Genomic DNA, 23,103 nt, shown 5'->3' with positions numbered 1-23,103 from the left:
CATAACAATACTAATAGATAGATAGTGTTATAACTTCCCGTTTTGGAGATGAGCAAACTGAGGCCCAGAGAAGTTAAAGGCATTGTCTAAATGCCAGAGCACACATCTTTTGAACTTCCAGTCTGCTTTTAAAGCATAGCACCTGCCTCAGTTTTTTCATGCGTAGACCTGTGCCTGAAAAATATTTTGAGATACTGATAGTAACTGAAATAACACAACATTTTAAATATATGCATTGATTCATACAGAATCAAGAACTCCTAATTTTAGTTTGCTGAATAAATTTGCTGCCTCAGAATATTTACATTTGTGACTTTACTTCTCTAGAAACAATAAAATAACTTCTTTATTTTTTATTTTATTTTATCTTTAGCTTATTTTGTAGGCTAGCAAGAATAACCTCTTGATGAAGGTAATTAACAGAACCATAAAACATTCACACAAATGGCATTCACAGAAACAAGGTAAAATGAAGAGCTGTCATTTGTGCCAACCCCATTTGAAAGTCATTTCCAAATGTTTAACCAAAGGGAGATAAGGGAGAGATGTGTGGCTGTTGGTTGCAGGATCATTTAGCTAACAGCGGTGTGCTTCCAAATTAAACCTTCCAGTTAGAAATGTTGAATGTGCATGTCTGTGTGTGTGCTCACACATGTGTGTGCCTGAGTAACTCTCTGGTTATATGAGCAATTTGCATTAATTATCTGGAAGCGTTTCCAACTCTTTTAAAAGAAGGCAGCCTGCCCTCAGGCTATAAGAACATCACCCATCAGAGACTTCTGTGTGTAAAGAATACTTACAGACTTGTGACATTGGGCATTGGCCCAGTCTCTCTGGGCCTTAGTTTCTTAGGTTGTAGAATGGATGCCTGAAAACTTGTGATGGAGATATCCAAGTAAAAAGATAAAGGATGACAGTGTAATTTTAGTTGTGTTCCCAGAACACTGACCAGAATGACTAAAACGAAACAGACAATACCAGTGTTGAGGATGTGAAGTGAAAGTCTCTTAGTCTGTTTGTGGGACTATAACAAAGTATCAGAGACTGAGTGGCTTACAGAAGTTTATTTCTCACTGTTCTGAAGGCTGGAAGTCCAAGAGGACTTTCTTGTTTTTTTTTTGTTTTTTGTTTTTGTTTTTGAGATGGAGTTTTGCTCTTGTTGCCCAGGCTGGAGTGCAGTGGCACCATCTCGGCTCACTGCAACCTCTGCCTCCTGGGTTCAAGAGATTCTCCTGCCTCAGCCTCTGAGTAGCTGGGATTACAGGCACCTGCCACCACACCGGGCTAATTTTTTGAATTTTTAGTAGAGTCATGGTTTCATCATGTTGACCAGGCTGGTCTCAAACTCCTGACTTCAGATGATTCACCTGCCTCGGCCTCCCAAAGTGCTGGTATTACAGGCATGAGCCACTGCACCCAGCCTCAAATTGGAATTTTGATTGAGAATTATGTAAAAAATAGAAATGAAACTAATTAGGTTGGAAATGGATACTTTGACAATATTTAGTTTTATCAACCAGAAACAAAATGGGCATCCTTGCTTCTCATCCCATTTAAATTGCATTCTCTCTTCTAAAGCAAATTTTTGATAAATGCTATTTTATCCCTGGGCCTATCTCAGACTGACCCATTGCCTCTCACCACTGTGAAGGCACAACACCATGGCAGAAAATAAATTAAAAGTTTTTTTGAGCACTGATATAATCAGGAGAAATGGAAAAATCAAGACATGAGACATCTTGAGGAGAAAAATTTTCCTAGGGGAAAAATGGTCACTCTCAGGGAAAGTCAGCCCCCAAGAGAACGATGGGGTGCACCATCTTCCTGCGTATTTCCAGGGGAAATAGACAGGAGGGAGTTCAGAATGGGGGGAAAGTATCTTCCTTCTTGAGCCTGTACCATCTGCCTGCCTGTCTTTCTATCTCTAGATTTATTCAGTCATTTCTGCTCTAAGTTCTGAAGATAGGAAATGGTGTAGGAGGACTGAGCTCCAATATATCTCAGTCTCAATATGTGGTCATCAGGATGCTCCTCAAGGAACTTAATCCATGAGATCAGACAGATTTTAGACAGGTAAATCTACTTTGAGGATCACATCAGAGGCACAAATGGATGCAGTGTAAGTAGGGGACAGTGATTAATCAGTGCTCTTGTGTCTAGTGGCCAGTTCCAGTCTTAAAAATTATAATTCTTTCCTATGTGAGGAGCACTGTACAATGGACAAAGTGATTCCTTAACTGTGATCTCATTACATAGCCTTCTGCTCTCAACCCCCTAATTCATGGCCAACAACCCTGTGAAGTAGAGAGACAGTCAGGGCAGGGCTTATTGCATTATTCTGCCAACAGGGAAACAAACTCAGAGATGTTGAAAGACTCGTCCAGGTTCCATGGGTAGTAAACGGCCCAGCAGGCATCAGAACCCAAGTGTGTCTGAGTCGAAAGTCCCTGCCCTGTCTTCTACATTGCACAGCATATCTGGGCAAATCTCTTAATTCAAGACTTCAGACAGTGTTCTGCTGTGGAGAACAACATGAATTGAAAGTGATCATTCTTGTTTGTGTTAGTACCAAAGACAGCATTAAAAACCATTTGATATATAGTCATTTTAGTTCAAAGTCTGAAATTAAAACTGCAAAGTAATTTCCTCTCCCAGTTTTAGGGGCAGCTTCTTGCTGTGACTAATATTAGTGGGCTTTCAATATTATCAGTGAAGTGGGGAGTCTTGCAAATCAAGCAGTGACTCATTGTAAATGAGCGAGAGACTAAATAATGCTGTGATGTGTCATAGTTGTTAGAGGGCTCGGGAAGTCTAGACTTTCAAAATGGGTTGTTTTTCCCTATAGGCTGAGCTCATCTTCTCTGGGTGATATAGCTTGTGTCAGGTGCCAGGAAGTTTGGACCCTGGGGAGGGAAAGCCACTGGCTTACTCTGTGTCACACTCTCTGTTACCTTATCCTCAAGAGCAGGGATCAGGAAGCTGCAGCCCCTGTGCCAAATATGGCCCACCATCTGTGTTTATAAAGTTTTATTAGAATACAGCCACGCTCATTTATTTACTATTGTCTGTGGCTGCTTCTCCCCACAATGGCCAAGTTGACAGTTGCTGAAAAGACTATATGGCCGGCAAAGCTGAAAATATTGATTATCTGACCCTTTACAGCCCAAAATTGCCAACCACAGCTCAAGACTGGCAAACACAGCCACTAAAATGCCTGCATTAAGAAAGGATAATATGTACATCAACTTTTGAGAAGAATTGACATGCAGCAAATGATCATAAAAGCGTGCAGCATAGAAGAAGTCAGGCAGATTAAAACCTCAGTACAGACTCAGGGGTTTTGATTTCTCCAGGTTTTTTTTTTTTTTTTTTTTTTTTCCTTGTGGGAGATTCTGTTCTTGGCAGGGCTGTCTCTAAGGATCTGTCTGGGCTTCAAGCTGCTCAATATGATTATTCTCAATATGTTTGGGAACAATCTATCCTACACTCTGGAAAGGGTTATTAGTAGTTTACCTTAATTACCAGAGTCATCTGCCAAGAAAGAAAATGAATATTTGCTAGTTACAGCTTTTACGCATATGGAAATTTCCAGAGTCATTAAAATTGTCTCCCCTTCCTTTCTTACGTGGCTGAAGTGACAGAATGAGATTTGAATTTTGTAATTGATTTATAAAGCTGGTCTCAGAATGAGACAAACACCCTTTCATATGGGAAGCTGGTCTCCAGAGGTGGACACCCCTGTCTAAAAGTGGCCATATGGGGTTCTTGAAGTAGGCAGCAACCATATTATGTTTATTTTTTCTGCTTTGTGGAAATGTGCTCATCAACCAAAAAGCCTCTGGCTGGATGTATCCAAACATTTAAGCAATGAAGAAAGAGCTGATAACTGAATACAAGAAAGCGAATAATGGTCTGAAGGTCCATACAGGGCTGTTGGAATTTAAATTTGAGCTCTGGCATGAATGCCCCCTCATCTAGGCAGGAGAATTATCTTCCTTTACTTGAAGGGTAATTTAGCTGTCAGCATTTCCTTCTCGCACTTCACTGTCCCTTTTCTATTTGACTTTTTAATTTCTTGCTATGAGTAAATCATAGTTCTTTTTTCATAATTCATCTTTGTAGGGTTTAACTGTTTGGCTTTGCTTATGTCTCATGGACACTTTGTGGCTTTGATTGCTGTTTTTCCCAAGCTCAACGAAACCATTTAAGACAAACACGGAGACTCAAATGAGAAATCAGAAACACAGGCGATTTACCTCCCCAACCCCGTCTTGCATAGACAGTTACAAAACACTTCACAAATCTGAGTCGTGGAAGAGGAAGCAGAAAAAAACATGCAGTAAGTGAAATACATTTGAGATGCAAGTTCCGAATGACCAGAGCACAGTGTGATAAGCCCTGAACCCTATCTTCGAAAGCTTTGTTGAAGGAAGAAACTTTTTTTAAAAAAAGGCAGAGCCCAAACCTATAGATAAATGATGCTGCTAAATGACCTGACAGCAGAAGTACTTTTTTTTTTTTTTTTTTTTTTTTTTTTTTTGAGACAGAGTCTCGCTCTGTTGCCCAGGCTGGAGTGCAGTGGCGCGATCTCGGCTCACTGCAAGCTCCGCCTCCCGGGTTCACGCCATTCTCCTGCCTCAGCCTCCCGAGTAGCTGGGACTACGGGCGCCCGCCACCACGCCCGGCTAATTTTTTGTATTTTTAGTAGAGACGGGGTTTGACCGTATTAGCCAGGATGGTCTTGTGAGCCACCGCGCCCGGCCCAGCAGAAGTACTTTTAAAAAGGAAAGCCTGAACCCAATGTTCAAATACAGGAGGAAGAACCGTCACTCCATTGGCAGTTGGGGAACGAGTAAAGGGGCGGAGAAGCAGCCTGATAATCAAATTCTGCAAACATTAGCAACTTATAAAACACCCACAGCATGTGAGTGCATAACAAATAAAAACAGAGGAGTGAATGACTGAACATCCTGTCTGGGTATGCAGGGGAAAAAAACATGTTTCCTTACACTTATAGACTCAGGCAAAACGAGCCTGCAGGGGAATATCAAATAGGGCTGGAAGGAAATTTAGTAAAAAAGTTTGGAATTTGTAGAGCCTCCTGAGTATACGGAGGCTTAGAAGAATGTTCTCTTCGGACCAGGCCTAATTTAGCATTGCCTGAAATAATCCTAGGCTCTGCCTTTGGTAAGCCCCGTGGTGTGACGAGGCTCATCCACCCTCATCACTGCTCTGGGGAATAATCGTTTGGGTCTCAAGTGTCTGCCCTTTACTGCTGCCCCTGGTTCTTTCATCTCTGTACTCCCTGTTCTTCCAGGACTACACCTGGCATATATTTGATGGTTGACATGTGTGTTTTGAATGAATGAATGGCCAAATTCTTTAGTAGGAAATAACAGGCAGTAAGCATAGTGGTTAAGAGCACCAGACAGAGGTAGGTTCAAATTCTGGTTGTTACCACTTACAAATTCTGGTTGCTGAAGGTTGTGCAACCTTAGGCAAGTTAATTATGTTCTCTGGACCTTGGTTTTCCAATCTGTATAATGACACCAGTCTCAGAGTGTTGTGAGGATTAAGTGGAAGAGTGTTTGTGATATGACTGATATAGTGTCTGGGGCATAAGTAGTATTCAATAAATGGTAGATATTGTTGGATAATAAGGCACTTTCACCTCCCAGCATATTTGCAATTTAGCAGAGTAACTTAAAGGAAAACAGACCTGCTGTTAGAGTTGAAGGTAGGGAGATAAGAGGACAGGGCAATGGGTTGAAAGAGAGTTGGATTGTGGCACTCAAATAGTGTCAAGGCAAGCAGTTTGGGAACAAGTCTAAGAAGAGTTTGGAGACCTGCCATGTAGCATTGGATGGGTCTGAACTTGGAATAAGCTATATAGAATCAAGGAGGATGACTCTGGCCTGGTCCTTTAAGCTAAGGAGGCCTTGGTTTCTTCACCTAAAAATGAAGGTGTTAGACTACTAGGTGGTCTCTAACATTTCGTGGTTCTAGGACAAACTGAAATTGAGATAAATTTTAAAGGGCATGTAAGTAAATCCAGAAGATCAATGACAGGACTAGAATTGGAGTTCTGAACAGTGCTATCGTGCTGGAGGCTAAGGGCATTTAATTCCTCATGCATTCTTCATGTAATTAACTTTAGTGTTTGAGGGAAGATGAGGAATGAGGGAAGAATATTTTTCTCTTAACTGACTTGCTGCTTTTGAAGACATGCGTTACTATGAGATTGATGGGAAACGTATTGCCTCTGTCCTTATGGTGCTCAGGCTCAGAAATTCACTAGAATTCTGTCTTGAGAAAGACAATGCTCCGTGCTTTGTATACTATCACACACAGGAAGTAATATTATCATTAAAAAATTATCATCTTGAGTTTTTGATGGTGCTCTGCTTGTTTGCAATTTTATTATTCATAGGTGTTAGCTCTGTAATTACAAATCATGTTGTTAGGATTTTGGAGCGGATTCTGACATCAAATTTGGTTTGTCAATAGATGGGATGAGCATGTCAAGGAAATAGAGGATGATGACAATGGATAAAATCCCATTTGGTTTCTACAGCTAATAATCTTGTTCAGAGTACAAGATTATTTGAACACTGTAATACGATTTCCACATTAAAAGCACGTTCCAGTCCATTCAAAAATTAAGTAAACAGAGCAGAGGCATACAGTTCCACTAATCCATGAATGTCATAAATCTAATGATTTTAGCAGCTCAAGGAAAACAGAGATTGTTGTAAAACTTCACATCTGAATGTGTTATTGCCTCTAACAATGATTATTTGTCATTTATCTGACACTAAAGGTGTAAACTCCACATTACAGGAGTCAAAGGTTTTGCATAAAACAAAACAAAGCCTCTTTCTCCAAGGCTTATACTCTGAAGGTGTGCAAGGAACTCATGAGAATGTGTTAAAGAAATCAGTGAGAGATGTGGGACTAATATACCTGGAGTTGGCCTTGGAAAGGACATATTTTTTAGAAAGGAAAACCAGGAATATATACATACAAACTGTGGAAACTTTTCTAAGATGAAGTATGTTTAAGAAAAATCTGGAATCTTCTTTGGCCATCAATCATTCATGGTACAAAATGGTCCCGGACATCTATACATTCCTGTATCTTTCCTTCCAGCATTTAGAAAGCTTTGGAAGAATAATAGAAAGCACACATTTAAATCTCTGATTTATCTATGGAAACATTAGACTTTCAAGCATATCACTTAGTAAGTTAGTGATAGTTTCCTGAAATCTTACTTTTAGCACTGTAGGTTTAAAAATACTGCTTATTTTATATGTAATAGAACTTGTTCAGAAGGTCAAACAGAAATGAAACTTGGTCAGGAAGAGTTCATGCTGTTTACATGATCTCTCTCCTCTAGGCATCAAAATTTTTCAGCGCAATTGTAAATTGGATCTGACCAGTCTTAGCAACAGCAGTAGAAATGGCAGCCTTGTTTATGGAATTCCTCTCTTATTTGGAGTATTTGAACTCTTTGAATTCTTCTTATTATATCTTCTTATTTGAATTCTTTTAATGTGGAATTCTAGGAGATCACCAGACCTCCGTGTCACATGATATACCCGTGTAACAAACCTGCACATGGACCCCGTGAATCAAAAATAAAATTTGAAATTATAAAAAATAAAATAAAAGATCATCAGTGTTTATTTGAGAATGGCTGCATCTACACCAAGGAAAGAATGGCATCATTTACATAACATTAAGCCGCAAACAAATTATACTGATCAAAGCGTAGCACCAGAGTCTAAAGCTAATATTTCCTGCCAATCTGCTAGACTAAGATATTAATATAATATAATATAATATAATATAATATAATATAATATAACATATCTACCTAAGGGAAACATCCTGGCCCTGTTTGGATCCTTTCCTTCTGTTGGCATCTTGGTTCTGTGTTTTCAGTTTTCGGGCCCCATGCTGGCCTGTGTTGCACATATCCAAGGCTGCTGTACCATGTGCAGACTGGTCAGACTTCAGCCTATACATTTTTAATAATTATATTTAAAGCATGGGGTCATGATCAACTGTCTTTCTGTAACACTAGCTATAGTCCTATTTTTATTAGGTACTGCATTAATATATGTAGTGCTGGAACTTTAGATACAGGTAATTCAAATTCTGCAAGTATGTCTACCTTCTGTGGCTGTCTGAGGATGGGAGAAGATAACGTCCACGCTGAGACCTATCTCATACTCTCTTGTCTCTTGTACTGAAGTCATTGGCTCTGTATGTCTTGATATCAAACATCCATAGTATTCATATTTGCTTTTTTTTTTTTTTGAGACAGAGCGTCACTCTATCGCCCAGGCTGGAGTGCAGTGGCATGATCTTGGCTCAGTGCAACCTCTGCCTCCCAGGTTCAAGCAATTCTCCTGCCTCAGCCTCCAGAGTAGCTGGGATTACAGGCACCCGCCACCACACCAGATTAATTTTGTATTTTTAGTAGAGACGGGGTTTCACCATGTTGGCCAGGCTGGTCTCCAACTCCTGACCTCAGGTGATCTGTCTGCCTTGGCCTCCCAAAGTGTTGGGATTACAGGCGTGAGCCACCGCACCAGGGCTACATATTTGCTTTTTGATTGTTCCAGTAAAGCAGCGTGGTGGCAGAAAGTCCGTCAATCCTATATGTTACTCACTGCAATAGAACTTAAGTTTCTTCAGCTCCTTCCTCTTTAAAATGGGATGACTACCAATTCAGAAGCTTTCGTTTTTCAAGTTCTATTTCAAATGAGATAATGAGGGTGAAAATATCTTGTTTAGAACTTAGCATTTAGGCTGCACTGCCTGTGGAGTAACCATTCTTTTATTCCTTTACTTTCTTAATAAACTGCTTTCACTTTATTCTATGGACTTGCCTCGAATTATTGCTTGTGCAAGATCTAAAAACTCTCTCTTGGGGTCTGGATCGGGACCGCTTTCCAGTAACATCTTTCTGGCAAACCATGAAAAGGAGGACAACTGAGGAAACCCCCGACCCAAAGGAAATAACTGCATCACTGATTGGCTGACTTTGGATATCACCTTTTGTCAGAACTCAGAGTTATTAATGGCCCTTGCCATACCAACACTTTCTGACTGAGCTCCGCTCTACCCTGAATGCAAGAGACCTAATAGGCAGGCATATCATCGCCCCTTATTCAGCCTGAAGAAGTTGCAGAAGATGGTTCTTCATCGCTCTACAAGCGTTAGGATTAAGGATTCTCTTATAAAAGGGAGGGGGGAAATGTCAGAGGTGTTTAAACAAGAGCAACTCCATCTTGAATAGGGGCTGGGTAAAATAAGGCTAAGACCTGCTCAGCTGAATTCCCAGTTAAGTTAAGGCATTCTTAGTCACAGGATGAGATAGAAGGTCGACACAAGTTACAGGTCCTAAAGACCTTGCTGATAAAACAGTTTGCAGAGGAACCAATAGGCTATACATAGATATATAGAAAGAGATTTGCTATTGTTACAGCCTCACCAATGCACCACAATGTAGCAGTCTCATTGCCTGAGGTAGTACCTGGAGTCCTTTGTCTCATGACCAAGGAAGTTAAGGAGCACAGACACCAAGGGTGAGGTTGTAGTGAAAGTTTAATAATCGAAAGAAGAACGCTCTTTGCTGTGGAGAGGGGACCCAGAAGAGAGCCGCCATTTTTACAGTTGAATGCAAAGCTTCTATAAGAAACCTTTGAGGGCTGGGCATCTCATTTGCATAAGGCGTACCATTCTGGTAGCTCCACCCCATCCTTCTAGTGTGCATGTGGGCCTTTAGCTTGAGTTCCTCCCTATTGCTTTGTTTCCCTTACAGCAAATGTGTCAGGGGATGAAATTTTCCATTGTGGGCATGTCTTTGCAAGTCACCTGTGTAGCCTTTCTTATCTGTGCAGCTGTGGGCATGTCTTCGGCAAGCCCCTCTGTGCAATTTCCCTTATCTGTGCCTGCAGGCTGTTCTTTGGTTTGAAAGGATTCAACCGAGGACCCACCCTGCCTGCCTGATGGGTTTTTTTCCTTTCTCCTCTCTCACTATGAGGGATTGGCACATGCAGATATGGTGGCTGAGAAGTTCCACAATCAGTTGTCTGCAACAGCAGGTGATATTGTTTGGCTGTGTCCCCATCCAAATCTTAACTTGAATTGTATCTCCCAGAATTCCCACAAGCTGTGGGAGGGACACAGGGGGAGGTAATTGATTCATGGGGGCTGGTCTTTCCTGTGCTATTCTCTTGATAGTGAAAGGTCTAACGAGATCTGATGGGTTTACCAGGTGTTTCCGTTTTTGCTTCTTCCTCATTTTTCTCTTGCCACCGCCATGTTAGAAGTGCCTTTCGCCTCCTGCCATGATTCTGAGGCCTCCCCTGCCATGTGGAACTGTAAGTCCAATTAAACCTCTTTTTCTTCCCAGTCTCAGGTATGTCTTTATCAGCAGTGTGAAAACATACTAATATAGCAGGAAAGCCAGCCCAGGTGGAGATCCAGCCCAAACCTGAAGGCCAGAGACCCAGGGGAGCCAATGGCGACAATCTCCATCTGAGCCAGAAGGCCTAACAATAGGGAGTACCAGTGTCTGAGGACAGGAGGAGATGGATGTCCTGGCTCCAGCGGAGAGTAAGTTCGCCTTTCCTCTGCTTTTTTTGTTCTATCCAGGCCCTGAATGGATTGAATAATGCCCACCTGAATTAGTGAGGGAGCCTTTCTTCACTCAGTTACTGATTCAAATGTTAATCTCTTCTGGGAACACTCTCACAGACACACCCAGAAATAATGTTTTACCAGCTGTCTGGGCATTTCTTAGCTCAATTAAGTTGATTCATAAAATTAGCCATCACAGCCATCTATTATTAAACAAACAAACAAAAAAAGGATTACACTACGTACTTGTGGCCAAATTATAGATTTTTGCAGGTCAGTGCCTTTCTTCTGCCTTCCAGAAATGACATGTTTGGTTCTGCTCTTGGCTAGCGGCCTTGGAAACAAGATGAGATAATATCTGAACCCAATTACGTTGTTCAGAAAAACAAGGTTAATCCTAAATTGTTAGAAGGGCGACTCAGGTATCTCCATCAAAGATCTGGTTGCAAGGAAGGACTTAGATTCATCCCACAGACCACTCTGAGAATCATTTGCATAGGGCAAGAATATTGAAAACTTCCTTTCACCTCGACTGGCTCTCAGGGAAAGGTTTCTGGTTCACTTTGAAATGTACATATTTAAACATTCCATCTCAGACTTGCAGTTGTGATGAACTGTGATCTCCCATCAGCTAGTCTTTTGAACTTGAAAGTACTGCCTGCTTTTTTTTTTTTCTTCTTTTGCTTATTAGGCCCTTTTCATGGTTGAACTAATAAATAGAAATTAAATAGCAAGTGAACAAACAACCAAAGAGGGGGGAGATGAAGTAATAAAGAAAATGGTACCTGTTCAGTTATGGTAAACAGATTATGATTAATCTAAAACATCACAAGCTCCTGAGGGCAAGGAGAATTTTTGCAGCACTCTGCGTTTAATTCTTTTTTAATGACAATTTTAAGAGAATTTGGCATGAAAATAAAGGCAGAGTTTGAAGTCCAACTATCATTGATTGAAGCTTCTGCAGCCACCTTAGCAAAAATGAAGAATCTGCACAGACAGCTTTGCTTCAAAACACAATAGGGTTGAGTGTGGTGGCTCATGCCTGTAATTCCAGCACTTTGGGAGGCCAAGGTGGAGGGATCGCTTGAGCCCAGGAATTTGAGACCACCCTAGGCAATATAGCAAGACCCCATTGCTTAAAAAAAATTAAAGAACAAAGGTAAAAAAGGCACCAAGGTTTAGACCTCACATATGTTTAAGTGAATAAATCCTACATGAATTTATACCTCTTGAATTCTGCACATATAATACCTGAGAGGTAGACTTTAGATTTGGTGTCTAAAATCAAAGCAGAGGCTAAAACATGAAGAAAAAATCTTGGCATTTGTTTTTCAGGGATCTTGACACACAGGATTATGAGTAGACATGAAAATATTGACCCAGCTGTAGACAGCAACTGTCAGCAGCTGAGAAATAACCTGGCAGAAGAAGTTTCATCAGTGAGTAGGGGGAGCGACACAGTCAAAGTCTCAGTTTCGATTTTGGGATAATGAAAACTGACCTGTGTACTTTCGGGTTCCCTAAAATATAAGTGGAAAATCAACATTTGCATCTTCCCCACCCACACCCCACTCCCAACTCCCCCAGTCCAATATGCATGCTCTTGGACTCCCACAGCAGGGGAGCCCGGGACAGCACTTGAGAGCTGCTAGCCAACTGGTTAAGAGCAAGAGTTCTGGAGCAAAAAGATCTGACTGGGTTTAAATCCTGGCTCAACCACCTGTTAGCTCTGGCAAAGTTATTTAACCTTTTTTGGTACCTTATTTTCCTCATGTAAAAAATGGGCTTAAAAATCCCTCCAAAACTAGCTCATAGGGCTGTTGTCAGGGTTAAATGAGCCAAAATACAAATAAAGTGCTTAGGATAGTGTGTGGCATACGTTAGGTGCTACATAAATGTTAGCATTGCATGTATTGGGAGGCTGTGATCCAAGTTTTGTGCTAGAAGGCGCCAGAGAGAAAAAGGACCAGCTTGGACACTTTTGGTTGCAATGAACAAAAACCTGACCAGATTTGCCTACACAATAGAGGGAATGTATTAGCTCATGTATCTGAAAAGTGGGAGGGAGAGTGTGTTTGGGGTAAGACTTGATCCAGTGCATCAGTGAATAAATCAGGCTTTTTTTGTTGTTGATGTTTTCTCTCTATCTTCCATGCATTGTGATGCCAGTTTCATCCTAAGGCTGGCTTCCCTCTGGATCCCAGGGTATCTGTTAGTGGCCACCAGGATGCTACGCTTCCTCGTTCACATCTAGTGAGATATTATCTTTGTATTAGCAGTTCTAGGAAAAATGCTGAGAGTGCCAAAGAGACACTGCAGTAGGGTAGAGAGATTGAATTCAACTCCATTGAAAGAAAAAGTGGGAGAATTTTTAAGCTAAGGGGCTCTGCGGAAGGAGGAAGGGAGGAATAGAGGCTAGGAAGACAACAGTGTCTGTTACAGAAGATTTTTGTGTGTGACCTTTGGTAGCACTTGCTGAGGATTTTGACTTAGTTCTGAGAGAGAAGGAAGGATCACGACAGTGATAACATAAGCAAATTCCTGAAAAATGTTTTCTCTTGTCCAAATCCACGAAGACCAAGGCTTCACTTCAGGTGAGGCTTCACATCTGCAGAGTAACTTACGGAGCAGGTTACCCTGCTGGGAAAATGTCTGTTGACTTGCCTTCTTTCTTCTTTGAATGTTCTTTTAATGTCGACTAAAAGACCACATAACAGAGGTAGGAAACTGGATGGAAAGATCTGGAAGTGAAGCTCTCAGCAAAGACCCTGGGAGAGATTTGAGAAACAGGATTATGAGCAGTAAGAGACCCAGGTTGGAATCTCAGCCCTTTCATGTAGCAGCTGGATTCTGGACGAGTCACTAACTCATTCTGAGTCTCATTTCCTCATTTGTAAAGTGGGACTAGTAACTGTATCTCCTCAAAAGGATTGTTATAAAGATTAAATGAGATAATGTATGAATACTTCGTTGCACAGAAAAGATGCTTAAACATCTTAACTATTGTTATTACTATTGTTGTTACTGTTATTCTACAGGCAGCAAATATAATAGAGGCCTTGAGATCTGAAAGGGCAAAAAGACGTTCTGACCTTCCCAAGATGGTAAAACAGGATACAATGAGCCTGGGGTTAGAACTCAGAGATTATTTAGAATTTCCATATTTTCCTCTACTGAATTAGAATTTGTTATGTTGTATTTTATGAGACAAATCTGTTTTTTCCCCATATTCTGAGTTGAGTAATTCCACTTAAGTAGGAATTATTTAGGAATCTATACTATTAAAATAATCATAGATTTGCACAGAGACTGAGTAACAAGGATATTCCATGGAGCATTTTGTTTGAAGGAAATAAAAGAAAATTGGAAATTGCTTAAAAATCCAACAGTCCAGGATTGATGAAATCCGACATTATTATAAAACATATCAGTCAGCATGCTTTTTGCTTTAAATAAGATAATCCTTCCTTCCTCCTTATCCCTTTAAATTAGGTAATTAGGTGATAACAACATTTATTACCTAAACAACAAATACAGAAGTAGAACTCGTTCCAGATATGGAATTTCAAAGTCCATCTCAGTTTCTTGGTGCTTCTTGTTTGGACCTTGATATGTTGGCATTATCGTCAGGCTGGTAGCAAGATGGCTGCTGCATTTCTAGCATCGTGTTTAGACAAAACAACCTCCAGGGGAAAAGAGCCGCTCCTCCTCCTTAGAAGCTCCAACTGCTCCTCTCCTGTGAATAATACACGAAGTGAAAAAAAGCAGATTATAAAACTACAGGGCAAATTTCCCCACTTTTTTTTCCCAAGAAATATTTGCCAATTTTGTTTGTTTTTGCCTCCAGATGAACTTCAGAATTAGCTTATCAATTTTTATAAAATATCCTATTAAGCTTTGATTAGGTTATTTGGGATTTATCAATTCATCTGAGGAGAAATGGACCTAACAGTTATTCTAATTTAGAAAACAGCAAAGTGGTAGCATTGTTTATACTATTGGAAAATAGGAAAGAACTTCCTATCAATAGGAAAATGGATGAATAAAATATAATATAGTCATACAACAGAATATCATACAGCAGTTAAAAAGAATGAGCTGGCAGCATAGGGTAGTGCTAAAACGTATGATACCATTGATGTAAATTACAAAAAAAAAGAGCACACAGTGCAATACTCTCTACTGTTCACAAGTACATGCATATGTATGCAAAAACTATAAAAAGACATTGGAAAGATTCATCAAATTTATGATAATGGCTGCCTCTAGGGAGCATGGAAAAAGAATGAGGAAAAGGAGACATTAACTGTATCTACAGTGTTTAATTTCTTTCATTTTAAAAATATTTGAAACATGGTAGGCTCTGGGGGCAGAGAGCTGGATGTTGGGGCAACAGCAGTGAAGGGGGAGAATTTCACTCTAAGTCCTTTCATACTTTTTATAATCTGAATCATGCGAATTGTCTCACTGACTCAACATAAATAAAACCATAAAAAGACTAAAATGCATAACAGTATGTTAACAATAATCTGTTTTCACTGGTACTTTTATTCTCTATATATTTCATATTAAAAAATTAACTTTAGGCTGAGTGCAGTGGCTCATGCCTGTAATCCTAGCACTTTGGGAGGCCCAGGCAGGCGGATCACAAGGTCAAGAGATCAAGATCATCCTGGCCAACATGGTGAAACCCCGTCTCTATTAAAAATACAAAAATTAGCCGGGCATGGTACGTGCCTGTAGTCCTGGCTACTAGGGAGGCTGAGGCAGGAGAATCGCTTGAACCTGGGAGGTGGACGTTGCAGTGAGCCGAGATCACGCCAATGCACACCAGTGTGGCGACACAGCAAGACTCAGTTAAAAAAAAATTATCTTTGAGAAAAGAAAAATCTAGGTTTGGTGTGGTGGCTCACGCCTGTAATCCCAGCACTTTGGGAGGCCGAGGCGGACGGATCACTTGAGGTCAGGAGTTCGAGACCAGTCTGGCCAACATGGTGAAACCCCACCTCTATTAAAAATACAAAAATTAGCTGGGTGTGGTGGTGCATGACTGTAGTCCCAGCTACTTGGGAGCCTGAGGGCAGGAGAATGGCTTGAACCAGGGAGGCAGAGGTTGCAGCAAGCCGAGACGTTGCCATTGCCAGCCTGGGTGATAGAGCGAGACTCCGTCTCAAAACAAAACAAAACAAAAAAAACAACAACAAAAACTAGTAATGTGCACACTGTTAGTGGTGCAGGTGGTGTCATTGGTGGCAGCTGGAGGTAGCTGAAGAAGAGGTGGAGGTGTGCAGGGTTGGTGGAGGTTGTTAGTGCTACATCTCCAGTGTGATATATGCTTTTGTTACTCTCTGTGTGAACTTTGCACATGAATGTCCCCCAATGTCAGATTCTGATAAGAGAAATCAAAGAAATATAATTAAAGATAAACGCGTAAGTCAAATACTGGTGGACAGGAATGGAATGAGTTGCTCTTACCTTTTTTCTTCATGCCAGCTCCTACACAGGCTTGCCTACCAATGTCCCCCAATCTAGACTTGTTTCCCAGTGTCCCCAATCCAGACTTGTGTGCAAGAGTTTTGGAACTTGAGAAGGATGGACAAGCCTCACAAGAATGCTTTGCACTCCACAGTGTTCCTTGAGTAGTGATGCTTTGTGCTCTGATCTCATGAGTTTCCTCCCCATACACCATCAACATCTCATTTTTCCAAGACCACTTTCATACTGTATGATGGGATGGAAACCACATTTTTCTTTCACCTGCCCTTTGTTCTCTTAGCTTCCCACCCCTTCCTCTTTCCAAGAGAAAACCAGACACACTAGGGGGCTTCTCAGGAGAAAACAAGCCAGAAGCCTAGAAGAACATCAATTTCTCTGAGGTCAAGTGGCAGACAAGAGTGTCAACAGCTTGTTCCTAGAGGCCTAGGAAGAAAGAGACCATTGAGGCACCAGGCTGGTAGGGATGGGAGGTATAAATGAAAGAGAGACAAAGGGATCTTATGGGGAAATAGAAAGAGGCAGTCCTGGGAGTTTTAATGAGCTGCTGTGGATACTCTTTAATATTTGAAAGAGACCAGAAGGAAGATTAAAAACTCCTGGGCTCTGCTTCTTTAAACACAAGACTGCTCTGAAGCTGTAGTATAGGGACTTTATATGCATTATGATTATAATGGGCTGACTCTACAGGGCATGCAGTAATCCTGGGGCTTTCTTTGGGATTCATTTAATCACAAATGTAATTCCAGAGCTCTGGAACTCGGAAGACTCTTGTGTCAGGGTTTCAACTGTACCTCTGTGTAGGTCCACCATGGGAGCCACTGCCTCCTCCTTCTGTCTTCCTTTCTTCAGGAGATGCCATTCCAAGAAAACCATGGAAGCAGAAAAGAGGAAAGCAGAAACACAGATGAAGCAAGAGGCTATGTCCTCTGTGCATGGAGACAGCAGATCTATTAGTAGACAGGATGAAGAGAAAAGGTGTGAAGAAAAGCCACATGGCTGATGTGACAAGGAAGAAAGTGGGTCTCTCAGCTCTTCCCTTCTTGTTTTTGCCCTTTTCCCAGTACCAAGAAATGTATTTTTGGGGGCCACATTCTTCCCACCATAATTTAGAAGGATGCTGTTGCCAGGTTTGAAGACCACTTGAAACAATAATTGTTGTTATTCTGCTATACTCACCAAGAATGACAAAACTATTTACATACTGGGGATAGCGTGCTAGAAAAATTGCTAAACAAATAGTATTTTTTCCTTCCATAAAATCAGAGTTGTAAAGAGCAATATATTAGGCATTTTCTTTGCCAGAGAACTTTAGCTATGATTTTCTGCTTCTTTAAAATTCATATTAATGATCGTAGATACCAGGTATCTAAGGGAAAGACTCTTTGCAACATCTTCTATATATACCCTGGGTGTTTCTGTATTGAATTTACTTAAGATTTAGGCTCTACAGTTTGATCTCAATCATGTAAAAATATATAGCAAGAAGGCTCCTGGGACAAAAACTGAAATGTTTATTATTAATTTTCTCTGGGCATTGAAATTCTGGATGATTTTATTTTTTCATACTTCTTTCTATTTTCCATATATTTTACAATCTGTATTCATAGCTTCAAAAATAAAATAGTTGCTGTGAATAATCACTCTATGTAAGTATTTTATATATCATGATCACAAGGGTATAAAAAATTTATGAAGCAAAGAGACTGCAAGTAGAGAATACCAAAATATTAACAGTGATTCTTATTGAGTTAGAATTCTTTATTTTATAATTATTCTAAATTAACATGAACTACTTTCATAATAGGAAAACAATATTTTAAGAAGGAATTTATTAAACTTGAACCAAAGAAATGCCAAAATGGTCAAGCCACTTAGCATTTTCTCTCTCACAGTGGCATTCTAGAATTTTTTTTTTAAAGAGCATGTTTTCCCCTGATATCAATCTCAGGAGGTTGAAGGACATACCCTACACACCTCTAGCTTCCTTTAATAACTGATTTGAATGTGTTATCCTCCTATATTTAGAAATTCTCTTCAATCTCACTATGATTCAACTTAAAGGCAAAAATGCACTTGTGCCTAACTTTTAATAAGTCTTATGGAAAGTGTAGCCGAATTAATGTCTAATTCCCTGTTACTGGGGAAATCCAGCAGGAATGCTGGTCGTATGCATGTACCCTGGAATAGAGCCAAGGGAGCTAGTCTTGACTGGACTGGGGAGGGGACAGTGTTCTCAGGGGTCTAGAGGCTGACCACAATTAGAGGAAGGGAAGAGTGAAACTGCAGACTGTAACTGAGAAGGGAGCCAAGTTTAATATCTGAAAAGCAGTGTTAATGTCAGCTCCAAGGGAGAGGCAGAAATCAGGAAAGATGGGAGAAGGAAGAGATAAATTAGAATTAGGGGTGATAAAAAAAAATGCAGAAATTTAGTCAGGTAGACCTTGGCTGAAATTCCAGTTCGGCCACTTACCTAGCTCGGGCAGGTCACTTAACCTCTTTGATCCTCTGTTTCTTCATCTTTAAAATAGGTGTGACCCAGATATCATCTGAGGTCATCTTCTTTGACCTTAACTGAGACTGGCTTCTGGGTAAAGTTTGTGCCCTCTCCCACCAGTCAGGAGTAGGACTGATTGTGATTAACAGAGACTCAATAATATTAGCTTGATAGGGAGTTTTATTCTCTCCCCAGCAAAGTCTAGTGGTGGGCAGTCCAGGGCTTGCATGGTGGCTGTAGCTGTCTGGGATTTAGGATGCTCCCAGCTTTTCTTCCACCATCTCTAGGGTGCAGCTCCTGACTTCATCACTGCAAATGGAGTCCCAGCCATCACCCCATGCTTCAAGCAGCAGAAAGGAGGAGACGAGGAAGATGAAAAGAGGAAAAGGGTGTATCCTATTCATCTTTTATGGAAGTGGCCTTAAACAAGGCAGTCCCCTCCATGAGAGGCCTGGCTGTTAAAGAGAATCCTATATTCATCTGCAGTGGAATGAAAATATCCATCTTAGAGTGTGATTGCAGTATATAGGTCTGGCACGAAAGGAATTAGCAGGTAATCAAGATTTTAAAAATAACTAGTAGTAAGTATATTATTGTTAAACTTACATTAATGTATTAATGAGAAATTATAACTCATTGTTGTGAAGTTCAAAACAGGTTGAGAGTCACCATCGAATTGCCATGGATGTGCTCTGTTGGGTGCTAGTTGGGTGATATGACAGGTGGGTTAGCAAGATCAAAAGTACAAGGTCACACCTGGCAAATGTGACTGTTAGTAACTCCCTGTTCTTAGTCTTATTTAGTCCTTTAAAGGACTCTAAAATGTCATTCTTGTGTGAATTTCTTTTATAGACAAATAATAATTGCTAAGATCTACTGAGGGCTAAATCCAGGTTGGGCACAAGGCTAAGCATGTTGTCTCATTGAATTCTCAAAGTCTTATGGGCTTAGCATAGTGAGCCTGTGGAAGACCAGAATATGTCACTTCAAAATATGAAGAATAGTTGCACCGAAGACAAGAAGAAGCAGATGCAGGAATGCCTTCTGTTTCCCTTTACTTGCCTAGAAGCAGGACTTAGATTTACAAAGACAAAAGGTATTTTGCCTTCCTCTCTACCAGGAAGAACAAAGCTTAACCACTGAAGACAGCTTTAGCCCCTCATCAGCCTAAAGATGGCACCAGAATAATCTATTTCAACAAGCTTTATTAACTAACATTTATCTGCCTGTTATTTGCCTTCCCCCAAGTTGTTGCCCCTAGAGACTCAAAGTCCTTTTCCTTTGTCTTGTCCCTTCTCTAAAACTTTACTGTTCTTTGCTGAAGATGCTATATAAGTTGGAATTCAAAACCAACACCTCTTTGAGAACTACTCATTTTCTGGTTTCTCCTATGTCTATATGAAATATACCAGTTAATTGGTTTTCATCTTGCTGATCTGTCTTTGGTATTATGGGTCCATTCAAACTAAGAACTCATGGGGGTCATTATTTTTCTCCTACAGTCTGTTCATGTTCCATTCATGGAATTGAGGGTTAGAGAGAGGAAGTCAATTTTTTAAGATCACACAACTAGTAGGACATAGAGATCAAAACCAAATCTTCATGCCTTTAGCATGAATATGACACTATATGGCCCCAAAGGATCCTTGTCATTGTTCTCAATAAAGGTTATACCTGTTTGGGTCCAAGGACACCCCTCAATACTGGTGTTCCCAAATGTGAATGTGAGCTTAACTTTGTAAGGTTTAGCCTCTCCCGAGCATTGGATGCTCTGAGTCCCACAGGCAGGTTATTGCTGCAGATACCTAGTTCAACAATGGCTTTTACACTTTGCCCACTAGCTCCACTTTCACTTTTGAGTGGCTTAAAACACTCTTGTGCTGCTGTTATCTACTTCGTATACATTGTTTCTTTCTAGCTTGTCAATTCTGTCTAGCATATTCTATGCATTTAACACAATTTCGCCCTAATACCTCAACCTGAATTTTTCAAAGGACATTTTGGAGGTGAGAATCTCTTCAATGTATTTATCTGTATGGACAATTCTTTAAAATCTCCTCTTTATTTTTCAAGGTCTTTTTCTTCCCCTTAGCAAATCACTGATTCCTTAGCTGATATCATTTCTTCACTATATATAAAACCAGCCCACCACCCCCGCCAAAAAAACCATGAAAAGGTGACTAGCAAACAAATGTAATATAAAACTAGTAAATAAACATGCAAAAATATTCAATTTGGCTTGTAATTAGATAAATGCTAGTTTTAAAAATATAGGGAGATACTTTACTTGTCTATTGTATCAATAAAAATTATTTATAATTGATAATATCAAATATTTACAAAATTATGGTGAAATTGGTATTCTTTACTCCAATGAAAATGATCTAAGCTTCTGGAAAACAATATCTCACTATGTAGAAAGTGTCACAGAAATGTTCGTGAGTGTTGATCTAATAGTCCTGCAGCTAGCAATCTTTCACAAGTAACTAATATGAAAGGGAAAACTCATATACACAGACATGTTTCTTTTAGCATTATTTATTTTAAAAAGCCAAAAACTAAATATCTGCTTGTAAGAGAATGTCTAAATAAATGTGATGTCTTTAATTCTGGAATATTATACAGTCATTAAATATATGTAGTTTTATGCTTATGATCAAATATTTAAAGAAAGGAAATTAGTGTGTAGGCGTACCATAATTATAACGATATGCAAAATTAGAATAAAGTTTTAAAGAAATTGATTTAGAAAATATTCATTACAAAGGCTTATCACAAGCATATTTCCATTAGTAGCTGTTAAACTGGGTGTTAAATGAAGTAATTTTGTGAAATATAACTTGTTGTTTTTGTTAATTATGACCCCTCTTTAGGCATTAGTATCACTCCTTGGAATTAGAGCTAAAGAATTGGAGACTATCTGCATAGAAATACGGCCATGGTCTGGAAGACACCAAATCTGAGGGACACTAAATATGTGGCTGTGGCAGATCTTAGACCCCATCCAAGTTCTAAATTTTCACTGTCATCAAAAGTTTGCACGAGTGGAATATTGTTGCATTGAAGGAATGTGATGCTTTTGCTAGACCAAAGCTTCAGAGTCAGGCAGGAGGGGTAAAAGCTCCATGTCCACGCACACTCTTCAGAGCTTAGTGTAGCTTTCATGGAATAATCATGTAGAATTGGCTTAAAGGAGAGAATCCTCTCCCTCAAAGTCTCGTCAGACACACACCATCCCTTTGTGTCTCGAGATCTAGCAGAGCCACCCATTGAGGCTCTTGGCTTTTACACTTCTGGATGATACATTTCTTTCTTTCTTTTTTTTTGAGACTCTTGCTCTGTTGTCCAGGCTGGGTTGCGGTGGTGCGATCTTGGCTCACCGCAACCTTCGTCTCTGGGTTCAAGTGATTCTCCTGCCTCAGCCTCCTGAGTAGCTGGGATTACAGGTGCGTGCCACCACCCCTGGCTAATTTTTTTTTGTATTTTTAGTAGAGATGGGGTTTCACCATGTTGGTCAGGCTGGTCTCGAACTCCTGACCTCATGATCCACCTGCCTCGGCCTCCCAAACTGCCAGGATTACAGGCATGAGCCACCGTGCCCGGCCTGGATGATATTTGCAAATTCCAATTCTCCTAATTCAAAAATTTTTCTGCCATTTTCTCTGACTCTGGAATTTATTTCAAAGTGTTGACCTAAAGGAAGAGGCTGAGGCACAAAATATTAAATACTTTACTTGAGTCAGAATGAGGACAGCCGCCTGGGAAATACTTCCAAGTTGCCTTGGGACATGCTCCATTCGGCTTTTGTTACAAGCAGGGTTTTAAAGGCAAAAGGGAGCAAGGATGGGTAGAGACAAAGTTGTTTGACAGGCATTCCCATTGGTTTACAGAAATAACACTGACTAGTGATTGGCTATACATTGTTGAACTGTAGGGTATGAGTTATGGTGTCCAGTGGATGGCATTGTTGGGTTAATTTATGACTACTTGGTGTCAGTCTGTCTAGAGCCCACATAGCAAGTAGCTTCAGAAGGTGATTACTTAGGGGGAAGTGAGATGTGCCTGAAGTCACATTTCAATTCCTCCCTGGGCCTGATCATTTCAGAGGGGTCTCACATTCCTCAGATAAAGCATTTCTTTTTTTTTTTTTTTTTCTCAAGAGGGAGCATAGAGATACTTGAATGACAATTTGATTGGCACACATTCTGGATACTGTAATTGGCCTAAATCAAATAAAATATACACAAAAAGCACATGGCCAGGGGTGTTTTAAAAATGATTCAAATTGATACCAAACATTTATTTTCCAATTAAGTTTCAATTTGCAAAAGTGTGATAAGGAACCTATCCATTTAAGGGAAAAAATTTTTGAGAATCTTAGTAAAACATATGCATTAAAGAAAAAAATTGAATATGCTAAAGCAATTGAGTTATAGTTGTGAGTTTGAAACATTTTATTT

At 40.1% G+C, this 23,103-nt stretch overlaps 1 long non-coding RNA gene across 2 annotated transcripts, besides 2 other annotated features; it reads left to right on the top strand.

Annotated features, from left to right (window-relative positions):
* Nucleotides 1-4,727: 4,727 nt before the first annotated feature.
* Nucleotides 4,728-17,786, top strand: LOC105369933 (uncharacterized). Of its 2 annotated transcripts, none has more exons than XR_945258.3 (4): nucleotides 4,728-4,924; nucleotides 10,427-10,629; nucleotides 11,989-12,092; nucleotides 16,999-17,786. It is a non-coding gene; the product is annotated as an uncharacterized LOC105369933 (long non-coding RNA). The 2 variants fall into 2 exon arrangements; XR_007063419.1 differs by lacking the exon at nucleotides 4,728-4,924 and adding an exon at nucleotides 10,033-10,115.
* Nucleotides 9,541-10,740: an enhancer, noted in NCBI's record as "MED14-independent group 3 enhancer chr12:98738483-98739682 (GRCh37/hg19 assembly coordinates)". NCBI's record gives its function as "activates an origin of replication core promoter dependent on BRD2, BRD4, P300/CBP and CDK7 cofactors, and independent of MED14, by STARR-seq in HCT116 cells {active_cell/tissue: HCT116}" and the evidence as "EXISTENCE:reporter gene assay evidence [ECO:0000049][PMID:35650434]".
* Nucleotides 13,339-14,538: an enhancer, noted in NCBI's record as "BRD4-independent group 4 enhancer chr12:98734685-98735884 (GRCh37/hg19 assembly coordinates)". NCBI's record gives its function as "activates an origin of replication core promoter dependent on BRD2, P300/CBP, MED14 and CDK7 cofactors, and independent of BRD4, by STARR-seq in HCT116 cells {active_cell/tissue: HCT116}" and the evidence as "EXISTENCE:reporter gene assay evidence [ECO:0000049][PMID:35650434]".
* Nucleotides 17,787-23,103: the final 5,317 nt, after the last annotated feature.

The sequence above is a fragment of the Homo sapiens genome, chromosome 12 (genome assembly GCF_000001405.40).
Source record: "Homo sapiens chromosome 12, GRCh38.p14 Primary Assembly".
NCBI classification, from domain to species: Eukaryota; Metazoa; Chordata; class Mammalia; order Primates; family Hominidae; genus Homo; species Homo sapiens.
The sequence above is the reverse complement of the archived record's forward strand: the minus strand, read 5'-3'. Positions and strand labels throughout refer to the sequence as shown.